The sequence below is a fragment of the Homo sapiens genome, chromosome 9 (assembly GCF_000001405.40).
Source record: "Homo sapiens chromosome 9, GRCh38.p14 Primary Assembly".
Classification (NCBI taxonomy): Eukaryota; Metazoa; Chordata; class Mammalia; order Primates; family Hominidae; genus Homo; species Homo sapiens.
Genome location: NC_000009.12, coordinates 6793780 through 6808933, shown reverse-complemented (window position 1 = coordinate 6808933; position 15154 = coordinate 6793780). Strand labels below are relative to the sequence as shown.

At 45.9% G+C, this 15154-nt stretch overlaps 1 protein-coding gene across 19 annotated transcripts in view, besides 1 other annotated feature; it reads right to left on the bottom strand.

Moving 5' to 3' along the window:
* KDM4C (lysine demethylase 4C) overlaps positions 1-15154 on the bottom strand; it is a 454786-nt gene that overhangs the window by 366715 nt on the left and 72917 nt on the right. For 17 of the 19 annotated variants that reach the window (NR_148680.3, NR_148679.3, NR_148677.3 and 14 more), the window contains exon 3: positions 3160-3335. The exons of the other annotated variants lie outside the window; for them this stretch is intronic. Coding sequence is in view for 8 of the 17 variants with exons in the window: in NM_001146696.2 (NP_001140168.1) it covers positions 3160-3335 (176 nt within the window). In the remaining 9 variants the exon portion in view is untranslated. The remainder of the gene's footprint in view (positions 1-3159; positions 3336-15154) is intronic. 19 annotated transcript variants of the gene reach the window in all.
* Positions 88-647: an enhancer, noted in NCBI's record as "NANOG-H3K27ac hESC enhancer chr9:6808287-6808846 (GRCh37/hg19 assembly coordinates)". NCBI's record gives its function as "activates a minimal SCP1, AML or CMV promoter by ChIP-STARR-seq in naive H9 embryonic stem cells {active_cell/tissue: H9 hESC(naive)}" and the evidence as "EXISTENCE:reporter gene assay evidence [ECO:0000049][PMID:30033119]".

The following is a 15154-nucleotide window of genomic DNA, read 5'->3' as shown; positions in this document are numbered from 1 at the left end:
AGATTTATGCTTTCATCTGGGGCCTTAATTATCATATCAGAATTTTTTAAAAGAAGTTTAATAATAATAATTGTGACAACATTTAAATATGCCCACAAATTCATTGACACTCCTCCCTTCAAGAAGTAGAGCTTCATTCTCCTCCCCTTGAGTGTAGGCTAGCTACACTTAACAACTGGCTTGTAACAAACAGAATATGGCAGATGTAACAGTGTGCCACTTCTTTTTTTTTTTTTTTTTTTTATTGATAATTCTTGGGTGTTTCTCACAGAGGGGGATTTGGCAGGGTCATGGGACAATAGTGGAGGGAAGGTCAGCAGATAAACAAGTGAACAAAGGTCTCTGGTTTTCCTAGGCAGAGGACCCTGAGGCCTTCCGCAGTGTTTGTGTCCCTGATTACTTGAGATTAGGGATTGGTAATGACTCTTAACGAGCATGCTGCCTTCAAGCATCTGTTTAACAAAGCACATCTTGCACCGCCCTTAATCCATTTAACCCTGAGTGGACACAGCACATGTTTCAGAGAGCACCGGGTTGGGGGTAAGGTCACAGATCAACAGGATCCCAAGGCAGAGGAATTTTTCTTAGTGCAGAACAAAATGAAAAGTCTCCCATGTCTACTTCTTTCTACACAGACACGGCAACCATCCGATTTCTCAATCTTTTCCCCACCTTTCCCGCCTTTCTATTCCACAAAGCCGCCATTGTCATCCTGGCCCGTTCTCAATGAGCTGTTGGGCACACCTCCCAGACGGGGTGGTGGCCGGGCAGAGGAGCTCCTCACTTCCCAGTAGGGGCGGCCGGGCAGAGGCGCCCCTCACCTCCCGGACGGGGCGGCTGGCCGGGCAGAGGGGCTCCTCACTTCCCAGCAGGGGCGGCCGGGCAGAGGCGCCCCTCACCTCCCGGACGGGGCGGCTGGCCGGGCAGGGGGGCTGACCCCCCCCACCTCCCTCCCGGACGGGGCGGCTGGCCGGGCGGGGGGCTGACCCCCCCACCTCCCTCCCGGAGGGGGTGGCTGGCCGGGCTGGGGGCTGACACCCCCACCTCCCTCCCGGACGGGGCGGCTGGCCAGGTTGGGGGGCTGACCCCCAACCTCCCTCCCGGATGGGGCGGCTGGCCGGGCGGGGGGCTGACCCCCCCCCCACCTCCCTCCCAGACGGGGTGGCTGCCGGGCGGAGACGCTCCTCACTTCCCAGATGGGGTGGCTGCCGGGCGGAGAGGCTCCTCACTTCTCAGACGGGGCAGCTGCCGGGCGGATGGGCTCCTCACTTCTCAGACGGGGTGGTTGCCAGGCAGAGGGTATCCTCACTTCTCAGACGGGGCGGCTGGGCAGAAACGCTCCTCACCTCCCAGACGGGGTCTCGGCCGGGCAGAGGCGCTCCTCACATCCCAGATGGGGCGGCGGGGCAGAGGCGCTCCCCACATCTCAGACGATGGGCGGCCGGGCAGAGACGCTCCTCACTTCCTAGATGTGATGGCGGCTGGGAAGAGGCGCTCCTCACTTCCTAGATGGGATGGCGGCCGGGCGGAGACGCTCCTCACTTTCCAGACTGGGCAGCCAGGCAGAGGGGCTCCTCACATCCCAGACGATGGGCGGCCAGGCAGAGACACTCCTCACTTCCCAGACGGGTTGGCGGCTGGGCAGAGGCTGCAATCTCGGCACTTTGGGAGGCCAAGGCAGGCGGCTGGGAGGTTATAGTGAGCCGAGATCACGCCACTGCACTCCAGCCTGGGCACCATTGAGCACTGAGTGAACGAGACTCCGTCTGCAATCCCGGCACCTCGGGAGGCCGAGGCTGGCGGATCACTCGCGGTTAGGGGCTGGAGACCGGCCCGGCCAACACAGCGAAACCCCGTCTCCACCAAAACCAGTCAGGCGTGGCGGCGCGTGCCTGCAATCGCAGGCATTCGGCAGACTGAGGCAGGAGAATCAGGCAGGGAGGTTGCAGTGAGCGGAGATGGCAGCAGTACAGTCCAGCTTCCGCTCCGCATGAGAGGGAGACCGTGGGGAGACGGAGAGGGAGAGGGAGAGGGAGAGGGAGAGGGAGAGGGAGACGGAGACGGAGAGGGAGAGCAACAGTGTGTCACTTCTGAAACAGGGCAAGGAAAGACATGTGGCTTCCTTCTTGCGATCTCTCTCGGATCACTTGCTCTGGGAGAAGCCAGCTGCCATGACATGAAGAGCAGTCCATATGACAAGGAACTGAGGACCCCATCAAAAGCCATGAAAGGGGAGCACTCTTGTAAGAGAATCTTCCAGCCACAATTAAATGCTCAGATGACTGTAGCCCAGCCAACATGCTAACTGCAACCTCATGAGACCCTGAGGCAGAATCTGAAGGTCAGATTCCTGACCTTCAGAAATTATGGGTTGGTTTAAGCAGCTAAGATTTGGGATTATTTATTTATTTATTTATTTATTTATTTATTTATTTTTTCGAGACGGAGTTTCACTCTTGTTGCCCAGGCTGGAGTGCAATGGCGTGATCTCGGCTCACTGCAACCTCTGTCTCCCAGGTTCAAGCAATTCTCCTGCCTCAGCCTCCTGAGTAGCTGGGATTACAGGCACGTGCCACCACGCATGGTTAATTTTGTAGTTTTAGTGGAGACAAGGTTTCTCCATGTTGATCAGACTGGTCTTGAACTCCCGACCTCAGGTGATCCGCCCACGTTGGCCTCCCAAAGTACTGGGATTACAGGCATGAGCCACCATGCCTGGCCAATTTGGGATAATTTGTTACACAGCAATAAATAACTAATGCAATGGTGGCCTTTCAAGTCATTCAAGGTTTGCTTTTAAAAGTACTAATCTTCTAATACATATAAATCATTTAAGGCTTAAACATTATCAAACACACACCAAAAAAACTGCCCAACAAACATGAATCATGTGTAGAAACGAAAACTCATGGCAACTATAGGATAAGAAGTTCCACTTATAACTGCTAGGAACGAGATAATAAAATAAAGAGCAATTTCTTTAAGTCAAATGTTCAGCAACCACCTAAAGAACAGAAAACAGAAACAGTTCAATGAAGGGTGAAAAATTGCATGGGAGACTCCTGCTTTTCATTTATAAGCTCCTCTGTCTACTTTGTTTCTTAACATATTTACATAAATCTTTGAAGGAAACAGAAATAGCAAACTGATTCTACTCACTTGCCACTGTTGGCCAGCTGCCTGAACTCCTTCACAGTCATCGCTTTTTTCTGGATGTTGTACTGAGTGAACAGTCCTGACTGCCCTGTGACCATCTGCTGAATTGGTGCTGGAATGAGCAAATTATCAATGTCATCATAGCACTGTCTTGGCTTCCACTCCTTAGGAGGAATCACCTAAAAATAAAATAATGAAATAAAATATCATCTTGAAAATACTCCAAGTAATTTAGCTTTTAAGTATTCTGATAAACTACAACTGAAGAATTTCTCAGTATCTCTATGACAAATGTGTAAAAAAAAAAAAAAAAGATGAATATTTGCAATAAAGCAATATGATGTTATTCAATAGCAAAATTTATTGAGTACTCACTATCCCAAACACTGTACTTGTATTAAACTCATTTTGAGTAGGTACTATTAACATCTTGATTTTAAAGATAAAATTGAAAGACACACAGAAGTAAAATAATTTGAAGTTAAAATGGCTAAAGACTACTTGAGCTGAAATTCTAATTAAAACAGTTTGAATTCACACTGAGCGATTATGTTAACCTGCCTCTCAATAGATGAAATTGGCAGGGCGCAGTGGCACACACCTGTAATTCCAGCACTTTGGGAGGCCGAGGCAGGCGGATCACCACGTCAGGAGTTCAACACCAACCTGGATAACATGGTGAAACCCCGCCTCTACTAAAAATACAAAAATTAGCCGGGCGTGGTGGCACGCACCTGTAGTCCCAGCTACCCGGGAGGCTGAGGCAGGAGAATCGCTTGAACCCAAGAGGCAGGGGTTGCAGTGAGCTGAGATCGCGCCACTGCACTCCAGCCTGGGTGACAGAGTGAGACTCTGTCTCAGGAAAAACAAAAAAAGACGAAATTATGTTTACATAAATAATTTCTTCCCCAAAGAAGTTCATCTTTATTGAATATGATCTAAGTACCTATGTGCTGTTTATATTATTATGAGAAAAATAAGTAAATACATAGTCAACATTATATTCTTTTTTTTTTTTTTGAGACGGAGTCTCACTCTGTTACTCGGCTGGGGAGCAGTGGCACGATCTCAGCTCACTGCAACCTCCGCTTCCCTGGGTTCAAGCGATTCTCCCACCTCAGGCTCCCAAGTAGCCAGGATTACAGGCGCCTGCCACCACGCCCAGCTAATTTTTGTATTTTTAGTAGAGACAGGGTTTCACCATCTTGGCCAGGATGGTCTTGAACTCCTGACCTCATGATCCACCCGTCTCGGCCTCCCAAATTGTTGGGATTACAGGCGTGAGCCACCACGCCCGGCCAACATTATATTCTTTATAGACTTCTCACACAATATGGCGATAGCACAGCGGTATGCTAGTAGATCTTTAATAACCAGCTTTCCAGAAAGGTGGAGGAAACCTTGATTTGTAGCTTTTACCTGTGTCCATGGCATAGTACTCCCACCATGGCCAATCTGAACCTACCAACGTGACATCACTACATAAGCAGCTGGGAAGAGATGTGCACTATCAACTCTCAAATGCCAGTATAAGGTGCCTCAGCACACCAGTGTTTGCCTGCAGTATTTAAGTACTTAATTACTAAGAGTGAAAAGATACAGAAAACATTAAGACCAAAAATACATATTGATAGGATTTAAAAGTAGAAGGTAACAGCCAGCCGTAGTGGCTCACACCTGTAACCTTAGCACTTTGGGAGGCCAAGATGGGTAAATCACTTGAGGCCAGGAGTTCTAGACCAGCCTAGCCAGTATGGTAAAACCTGATCTCCACTAAAAATACAAAAATTATCCGGGCGTGGTGACAGGCACCTGTAATCCCAGGTACTCGAGAGGCTGAGGCAGGAGAATCACTTTGAACCCAGGAGGTGGAGGCTGCAGTGAGCCAAGATCACACCACTGCACTCCAGTCTGGGTGACAGTCCATCTCATAAACAAATAAATTAAATTAAATTAAAATAGAACGTACAACGTCATGAAGCAATTCATGATCTATTGCTGGAACTTTTCTTTTTTTTTTTTTTTTCTTTTTGTTACAGATGGGGTTTCGCCATGTTGCCCAGGCTGGTCTCAAATTCCTGAGCTCAACTGATCTGCCTTGGCCTCCCAAAGTGCTGGAATTACAGGCAATAGTCACTGCACCTGGCCACTTTACCACCTTTAGAAGTTTTTTTAATTTTTTTAAAACAAACTTTTTTTTTTTTTTTGAGACCGAGTTTTGCTCTTGTTGCCCAGGCTGGACTCCAATGGCCCAATCTCGGCTCACCGCAACCTCCACCTCCCGGGGTCAAGCGATTCTCCTGCCTCAGCCTCCCAAGTAGCTGGGACTACAGGTGCGCACCACCATGCCCGGCTAATTTTTGCATTTTTAATAGGACGAGTTTTCACCATGTTGGCCAGGATGGTCTCGATCTCTTGACAGCGTGATCCGACCACCTCTGCCTCCCAAAGTGTTGGGATTACAAGCATGAGCCACCGTGCCTGGCCTAAAACAATCTTTTTAAGGTTTTTTATTGAAAAACAGCACACATGTAGAAAATGCATAATCACAAGCACACAGCTCTGTGAATTATTACAAAGCAAACACCAAATGACCTACTGCCCAGGTGTAAGAGGCAAGATATTGCTGGCACGATACAGGCCCTCCAAGCGCCCTTTTCCAGCCTCATCTTCCCTATTGCCCAAGAGGTAACCACAATTACGGTGTTTATGGCAATGACTTCATTGCTGGGCTTTAGTTTTATGCTTCTATATGCATACCTATACACCAGTTTTGCAAATGTATAAAAATGTAACCCTACAGTATATACTACTTGAGGTTTATCTTTTATACTTCACTCATATTTTGTGAGATTTAAATATAACGGCCTAGGCCAGACACGGTGACTCACTCCTGTAATCCCAGCACTTTGGGAGGCCAAGGTGGACAGACCACCTGAGGTCAGAAGTTTAAGATCAGCTTGGCCAACATGGTGAAACCCCATCTCTACTAAAAATACAAAAATTAGCCAAACGTGGTGGTCAATGCCTGTAGTCCAAGCTCCTCCGGAGGCTGAGGCAGGTGAATTGTTGCAGTGAGCTGAGATCACACCACTGCACTACAGCCTGAGTGACAGAGTGAGACTCTGTCTCAAAATAAATAAATAAATAAATAAGCAAATGTAACAGCCTATGTAGCTGAAGTTCTTTGATTTTCATTCCTACTCAGTATTTTGTCTTATAAATATTTATGTATTTATAAACTGATAACCATTGATGGGCATGTGGCTTTTTCTAATTATTGGCTATTGCAAATAATGCTATTAATATTTTTGTACAGATATTCTAGTGCATATATGCACATGGGTCTCTAAAACATCCATGCATACACAGACACTTCTAAGAGTCAAATTACTGACACATAGGATACGTGTAGTTCAAATTTCATAGATATTGCCAACTGTTGCAAAGTGGTTGTACCAATTTGCACTCCCAACTGCAATATACGAGAGTTCCCATTCCTCCACACCTTCATCATCACCTAATACTGTCCATCATTTAACTCTTAGTCTTTCTGTTAAGTGTACAATGGTACTCAAGTGTGAATTTTATTTGTATTTTCCGAATAAATGAAGAAAGAAACCTTTTCATCCATATGTTTACTGACCTTACTGATACTTTTTTTTTTTTTTTGAGACAAAGTTTCTCTTTTGTTCCCCAGGCTGGAGTGCAATGGCGCGATGTCAGCTCACTGGAACCTCCACCTCCTGGGTTCAAGCAATTCTCCTATCTCAGCCTCCCTAGTGGCTGGGATTACAGGTGCCTGCCACCATGCCCAGATAATTTTTTGTATTTTTGTAGAGACAGGGTTTCACTATGTTGGCCAGGCTGGTCTCGAACTCCTGACCTCAGGTGATCCACCCGCCTCAGCCTCCCAAAGTGCTGGGATTACAGGCATGAGCCACCGCGCCCAGCTCACTGATACTCTCTTTTATAAAGTACTTATTCAAGTCTCTTTATCATTTTACTATTGCATTGTTGGGTTTTTCCTTATTAATGTATAGAAGTCTTTTATATATTCTTTTATATATCCAAGGAGAATACTCTTCGATGTGTATGTGTATATGGAGGCATATACAGAGAGAGAGAGAGAGAGACAGAGAGAGAGAGAGAGAGAGAGCATATCTGCACAAGAGCATGTAAATATATTCTCTTATCCTGTAACTTGCCCTCCAATCTTTTTTTTTTAAGAGACAAGGTCAGGCTGGGCACGGTAGCTCACGCCTGTAATCCCAGCACTTTGGGAGGCCAAGGCGGGTGGATCACGATGTCAGGAGATCCAGACTATCCTGGCTAACACAGTGAAACCCCGTCTCCACTAAAAAAAAATACAGAAAATTAGCCGGGCATGGTGGCAGGCACCTGTAGTCCCAGCTACTCTGGAGGCTGAGGCAGGAGGCAGAGCTTGCAGTGAGCCAAGATCACGCCACTGCACTCCAGCCTGGGGACAGAGCGAGACTCCATCTCAAAAAAAAAAAAAAAAAAAAAAAAAAAAAAAATTTCCCTACTCAAGGACATAAAAATGGTCTACTTTATATTCTAAGAGTGTTAAAGTCTTGTCTTTCACATTTAGGTCTACATGTACCTATAACTCTGAAACTCAAGTCAAGCGTCATCAGATAAAGAAACTTGGGGTCAGGAGATGAGTAACTTGGCCAGTGCTATACAGCTTATAAGTGAGAGTTGTTAGCTCAAAAAAAATAAAACCACCTCACAGTGAGCTGTCAATTTTACCTTAATTTTCATTAGCAATATAAGGATACTACATATTTTATATCCTCCAACGTATGTTTGTTTAAAATGAGAATACTGTCCAGGAACGGTGGCTCACGCCTGTAATCCCAACACTTCAGGAGGCCGAGGCTGGAGGATAACTAGAGCTCAGGAATTCGAGACAAGCCTAGGCAACATGGCGAAAGCTCAGCTCTACAAAAAAATACAAAAATTAGCCAGGTGTGGTGGCACACGCCTATAGTCCTAGCTACTCGGGAGGCTGAGGTGGGGCGACTGCTTGAGCCCGGGAGGACAAGGCTGCAGTGAGCCAAGATCACACCACTGCGCTCCAGCCTGGGTGACAGAGCAAGACCCTGTCTCAAAAGAACTAAATAAAAATAAATTAAAAAATAAAATAAAATAGATAGATATACATTCATAGTATATGTTACTGAAATCACACCCTCATTATTTTATTTAACTTTTTTTTTGAGACAGGGACTCTGTTGCCCAGGCTTGAATATAGTGGCATGATCGCAGCTCACAGCAGCCTGGACCTCTCAGGCTCAAGAAATCCTCCCACCTCAGCCTCCCAAGCAGCTAGGACTACAGGCACATGCTCCTACGCTCAGTTAATTTTTTGTTTGTTTGTTTGCTTTTTGAGATGGAGTCTCACTGTTGCCCAGGCTAGAGTGCAGTGGAGCAATCTCGGCTCACTGCAACCTCAGCCTCTCAGGTTCAAGTGATTCTCGTGTCCCAGCCTCCCAAGGAGCTGGGATTACAGATGTGCACCACCACACCCGACTAATTTTTGTATTTTTAGTAGAGACAGCATTTCACCATTTGTCCAGGTTGGTCTCAAACTCCTGGCCTCAAGTGATCCACCCACCTCAGCCTTCCAAAGTGCTGGGATTACAGGCGTGAGTCACTGTGCCTGGCCTTTTTTATTTATTTATTTTTTTTTTGGAAAAGATGTGGTCTCGCTATGTTGCCAGGGCTGGTCTCGAACTCATGGGCTCAAGCAATCCTCCCACCTTGGCCTCCCAAAGTGCTGGGACTACAGGCGTGAGCCACCATGCCCAGCCACACTCAATATTTGAAAAGAATATGAACAATCAGACTATATGAATATGAATAACCTTACTACATTCATATGAATATGAATAACCTTACTATTTTGATGACATATTGAAAGGGGAGGGGCACTATATTTAAGAATGTTATAAAAACTAACTTTTTTCCTCGGAAATAAGCCAGAATAATAAAAAAATGGAACACAGATTTATTCAGGCTCTTCATTAGCAATAAAGATATCCACAATCAAAATTAATATTATGTGTAGAATTAAATGTTTTTCTGTTTTGTAAAAAAAAAAAAAAAAAAGAAAAGAAAAAAGAGCCCTCTCCCGTCTCCCGTCTCCCGTCTCCCCTTTCCACGGTCTCCCTCTCATCCCTCTCCTGTCTCCCCTTTCCACGGTCTCCCTCTCATGCCAAGCCGAAGTTGGACTGTGCTGCTGCCATCTTGGCTCACTGCAACCTCCCTGCCTGATTCTCCTGCCTCAGCCTGCAGAGTGCCTGCGATTGCAGACGCGCGCCGCCACTCCTGACTGGTTTTCGTATTTTTTTGGTGGAGACGGGGTTTCGCTGTGTTGGCCGGGCTGGTCTCCAGCTCCTAACCGCGAGTGATCCGCCAGCCTCGGCCTCCCAAGATGCCGGGATTGCAGACAGAGTCTCCTTAACTCAGTGCTCAATGGTGCCCAGGCTGGAGTGCAGTGGCGTGATCTCGCGTCGCTACAACCTCCACCTCCCAGCCGCCTGCCTTGGCCTCCCAAAGTGCCGAGATTGCAGCCTCTGCCCGGCCGCCACCCCGTCTGGGAAGTGAGGAGTGTCTCTGCCTGGCCGCCCATCGTCTGGGACGTGAGGAGCCCCTCTGCCTGGATGCCCAGTCTGGAAAGTGAGGAGCGTCTCTGCCCGGCCGCCATCCCACCTAGGAAGTGAGGAGCGCCTCTTCCCGGCCGCCATCCCATCTAGGAAGTGAGGAGCGTCTCTGCCCGGCCACCCATCGTCTGGGATGTGAGGAGCGCCTCGACCCGACCGCGACCCCGTCTGGGAGGTGAGGAACGTCTCTGCCCGGCCGCCCCGTCTGAGAAGTGAGGAGACCCTCCGCCCGGCAGCCGCCCCGTCTGAGAAGTGAGGGGCGCCTCTGCCCGGCCGCCCCTACGGGGAAGTGAGGAGCCCCTCTGCCCGGCCACCACCCCGTCTGGGAGGTGTACCCAACAGCTCATTGAGAACGGGCCATGATGACAATGGCGGTTTTGTGGAATAGAAAAGGGGGAAAGGTGGGGAAAAGACTGAGAAATCGGATGGTTGCTGTGTCTGTGTGGAAAGAAGTAGACATGGGAGACTTTTCATTTTGTTCTATACTAAGAAAAATTCTTCTGCCTTGGGATCCTGTTGATCTATGACCTTACCCCCAACCCTGTGCTCTCTGAAACATGTGCTGTGTCCACTCAGGGTTAAATGGATTAAGGGCGGTGCAAGATGTGCTTTGTTAAACAGATGCTTGAAGGCAGCATGCTCGTTAAGAGTCATCACCACTCCATAATCTCAAGTACCCAGGGACACAAACACTCTGCCTAGGAAAACCAGAGACCTTTGTTCACTTGTTTATCTGCTGACCTTCCCTCCTTCCCTCCACTATTGTCCTATGACCCTGCCAAATCCCCCTCTGCGAGAAACATCCAAGAATGATCAATAAAAAAAAAAAAAAGAAAGAAAGAAAAAAGGAAGTTGCTTGCCTATAAAATATTTTGCAGCAATTTTCTAAAGACAGAGAAGCAAGGCACACAATAAACTTACAAAAATCCAAATATTACCTTGTGCTTTTTGTGTACAAGTTCATTTAAATTAAAGAGTTCAAATGGAATATATTTTCAGAAGTTCAGCTCTATAACAAAAATCTTATTTTAACTATAATTTGAAATCCTAAGACATCAGATTTTCTTGCATAGGGAAACACAACATACTGAGATCTTTAAAAGATTCCAAAGTTAAATCTTTATGTTTAGTGAATCTAAATGAGGGAAAGCCATTCCTTCTGAAGTTCACCTTCCTGATTATATCAAAACAGAATATACCTTCTTTTATCAACAACCCCACAAACCCAGCCTGGCCCCTATTCCCTGTGGGAAACTTTCTGCTAAAATGTGCATTTGCACTACTTGCCTTGAAATAAATTGCAATTTCTACCATCTACCTAGTGAGCAAGGAGGAGGAAGAGAAAGAGTGGTGCTTCTTATAATCTTTCTTCACCTTGTGAGCAAAGATAGCTATTTGCACTCTCTAGGCTGTTCATAAAACTACATGATGTGCATAAGCTACAGTCCAGGACAATCTATGTTCAGATTTCTGTTGGGGACCAATTTCACCCACTTCATATATAAAAAAAGTTCATCATAATCTCCTTCCACAAAAACAGTACAAGTTTTACATGTGAAGAGACTGCCACTCTTTTCACTTTCGCAACCTGACCATCAACTTTGTAGACAGTCAAAGTGTCAAACCTTCCACTCAAAAAATAAATGTTAAATTTAAAGCATGAATCTAAAAAATGGGAAAGAGAAAAACCAAGACAGACTGTCATCTGAAGCTAAAGTCACTACTGTTGCACCTACTCGACCAATTTCTTCAAATCATAAATTAAGACCAATTCATTAAATCTTGTCAATAGTGGATTAACGGGCCAGGCACAGTGGCTCATGCCTGTAATCCCAGCACTTTGGGAGGCCAAGGTGGGAGAAGCACTTGAGCTCAGGAGTTCAAGACCACTCTGGGTAACACAGCAGACCCCATCTCTACAAAAAACAAAAAATAAAAAAAATTACCCAGGCGTGGGTAGTCCCAGCTACTTGGGAGGCTGAGTCCCAGCTACTTGGGAGGCTACTTGCTTGAGCCTGGGAGGTCAAGGCTGCAGTGAGCCACGATCACACCACCCAGCCTAACAGGGCAAGACCCTGTCTCAAAAAAAAAAAAAAATAGTGCATTAACAAAGAACATCATGGGTGGCTCGGTTCCCCAGGACTAGCCCCCAAAGCAAACCAGCTTCATTAATGCAGTCTTGATTTTTATAATATGATTTGATTCGGTACAGTTTTATACATATGCTACTACTGCAACTTCCAGAACAAGAGGGAAAGTAAGTAAAACTGAGCTTATGTGACTTGACGTCAAAGATGGCAAAAATGATTTGAAACAGTTCGTTGTATTCCTAATAATGAGTAATAGGAAATTATCACAGGATTGAGTAAATTAATGTCTCCAACTTTGTCAATGAGTCTCAATTTTAAAAATGAGGCACGGTCTGGACTCAGGTGTGTTTTGTAATCATAGTTCTCATTAACTTTATTCAGTTACATAATGCAGACAGCGACGCAGGTGTGCTCTGTGTGCATGCAGCTCCCTTGTGAGGGTAGCTGCTGTTTCCTCTTCTAAAGTTACTGAACGTGCCACCCTACCTCACAAGACACTCCACTAATTTCAGTGGAACACAGTACATGTTTTCCGGAAACAAAAGTGGGAGAGAACAGGACAAAGGGCTGCATTCAGAGCCCAGAGAAGAGAAGAGATGGTTATCCCCAACCTCTGCCCTCCACCTCCCGGGTTCAAGTGATTATCCTGGCTCAGCCTCCCGATTAGCTGGGACTACAGGCGCCCACCTCCAAGCCCGGCTAAAATTTGTATTTTTGGTAGAGATGGGGTTTCACCATGTTGGCCAGGCTGGTCTCGAACTCCTGACCTCAAGTGATCCACCCACCTCGGCCTCCCAGAGTGCTGGGATTGCAGGCGTGAGCCCCACACCCAGCCCAAATGAGATTTTTTTTTGATGAGCTAACCCAATAAAGAAGTTAAACTAAGGATAGCTCATCTGAGAAAGTCATTACGAAGCTTTAGTTTCTGTTTGTTTTCTCTTTATCTTGTTTCCTCTCTCTCTCACCCACCCCTAATTAATTTTCACTCAACTTAATATTCCCAAATTTTAAAACTTTTCTAGGAAGGGGCCAGGGGCAGTGGCTGATGCTTATAATTCCAGCAATTTGGGAGGCCAAAGCGGGCAGACCACTTGAGTCCTGGTGTTCGAGACCAGCCTAGGCAACATGGTGAAACCTTGGCTCTACAAAAAATACAAAACTTAGCCAGGCATGGTGCTGCATACCTGTAATCCCAGCTAATTGCGGGGCTGAGGGAGGGGGATCGCTTGAACCTGGAAGGTCCAGACTGCAGTGAGCCAATATCATGCCACTGCACTCCAGCTTGGGTGACAAAATGAGACACTGTCTCAAAAAAAAAGAAAAAAAAAAAATTTTCTAGGAAGGGCATGAACTTTAACAAGATACATGTCCGGGCACGGTGGCTCATGCCTATAATCCCAGCATTTTGGGAGGCCAAGGAAGGCAGGTCATTTGAGGTCAGGAGTTTGAGACCAGCCTAGCCAACATGGTGAAACCCTGTCTCTACTAAAAACACAAAAATTATCCAGGCATGGTGGTACATGCCTGTAATCCCAGCTATTCAGGAGGCTGAGGCAGGAGAATAGCTTGAAACCAGGAGGCAGAGGTTGCAGTGAGCTGAGATCGTGCCTCTGCACTCCTGCCTGGGCAACAGAGCGAGACTCCCGTCTCAAAAAGAAACAACAACAAAAAATATATATATATACAACCTAATTACAGGCCTCAGGGTACAGATACCAGAAACAGTAAAGTAGTGGGTTACAAGTAGCATCAGGTCCATTTGCAGGAGGAGTTGAACACCAATCCCAATAGTTCTGGAAGCTCTCTCCTCAACTATCTTCTGTTTTCCATGCTATCTGACCTCCATAGCTGGGGATTTCAAGGAGAACCCTTTACATAAGTGCAACTGAGTGGTTCGGCCTGGCAGCAGACTCTGTCAGGACTCAGGGATTTATGCAGTGATATTGACAAGTCTACAGAAACCCAGATTATAAATTTAACATTTAGAACAATAATAAATTGAAACAAGTGCAATGAAATATATTCTTCCATGGGAAATTTTTTAATTAAAATAGACTTACATTATAGAAGGGACACACAAACCATCTCAAGTTGGACGATGAATTATATCATATAGTGGATCTCTCTTTCAAAGATCTTACTTTGGACCTATGCATCCAAATGTGCAATGAGTTCTCAGCACCTCACTGACCACCCCTATGACTCGGGGCATGTCACTTACACCCACAAGGCTTAAGTCACTACCATTTTTTTTTAAGAATATTATCTGGCACCCGTAAGAATAAGATAAGATGATATTTTCAAACATATCCAGACCAAAGACAACTTCTCCCATCTTCACTGGTCTGGGTCACCATTGGCTCTTCACTAGATAAATATAACTATCCCAGACAAGGTGCTTTATTTGTGCTCTGCCCCCACAACACCAATTCATTCTTCATGTAGGAGCCAGTGTGATCTTTTCAAAATAATGTCCCAAAAATAGCAAAAGAAAGAAACAAACAGCCACCATATCTTCCTCTCCCACTTTAAGCCTGTCAGTGCTTCCCTCTACACTTAAAATCCCAAATGCCTTACCATAGCCAGACAAGTCCACTGACCACCTTCCTATTCCTCCCAGCCACAAAGTACAGGTCAGCCTCCAGGCCGCTGGACTTGCTATTCTTTCTGTCCCCATATCTTGAAAAGACTGGTTTATTTTTATCCTTTGGATCTGTGCTTAAATGTCCTTATTTCATCATTCTAAGATGCTACAACTAGAATGTAAGCTCCATGGGGGCAGGAACATCGTCTGTTCTGCTCCCCCATATCCCTACCTCTAGCACCTGGCATAGTGTCTGGCACATAGCAGGCAATCTCCACATTTGTTGAACAAATAACCAGAAAGAAAAGAGAATAGGCAAATGTAGAGAGAGAATAAGTCAGTTTGTGGTTGCCTATGGGCTGGGGGTGATAGCAGGGAATGGAGAATGACTGCTTAATGCATATGAAGTTTCTTTGGGGGATGATGAAAATGTTACAGAATTCTATAGCGGTAATGATTGCACAATTCTGTGAATATACTCAAAATCACTGAATTGCACACTTTAAATGGATGCATTATACAATATTATTATATGATAAAATATATCAATAAGTGTTATATAAAAAAAAAGAGGCCGGGCACAGTGGCTCACGCCTTTAATCCCCGCACTTTGGGAAGCCGAGGCGGATGGATCA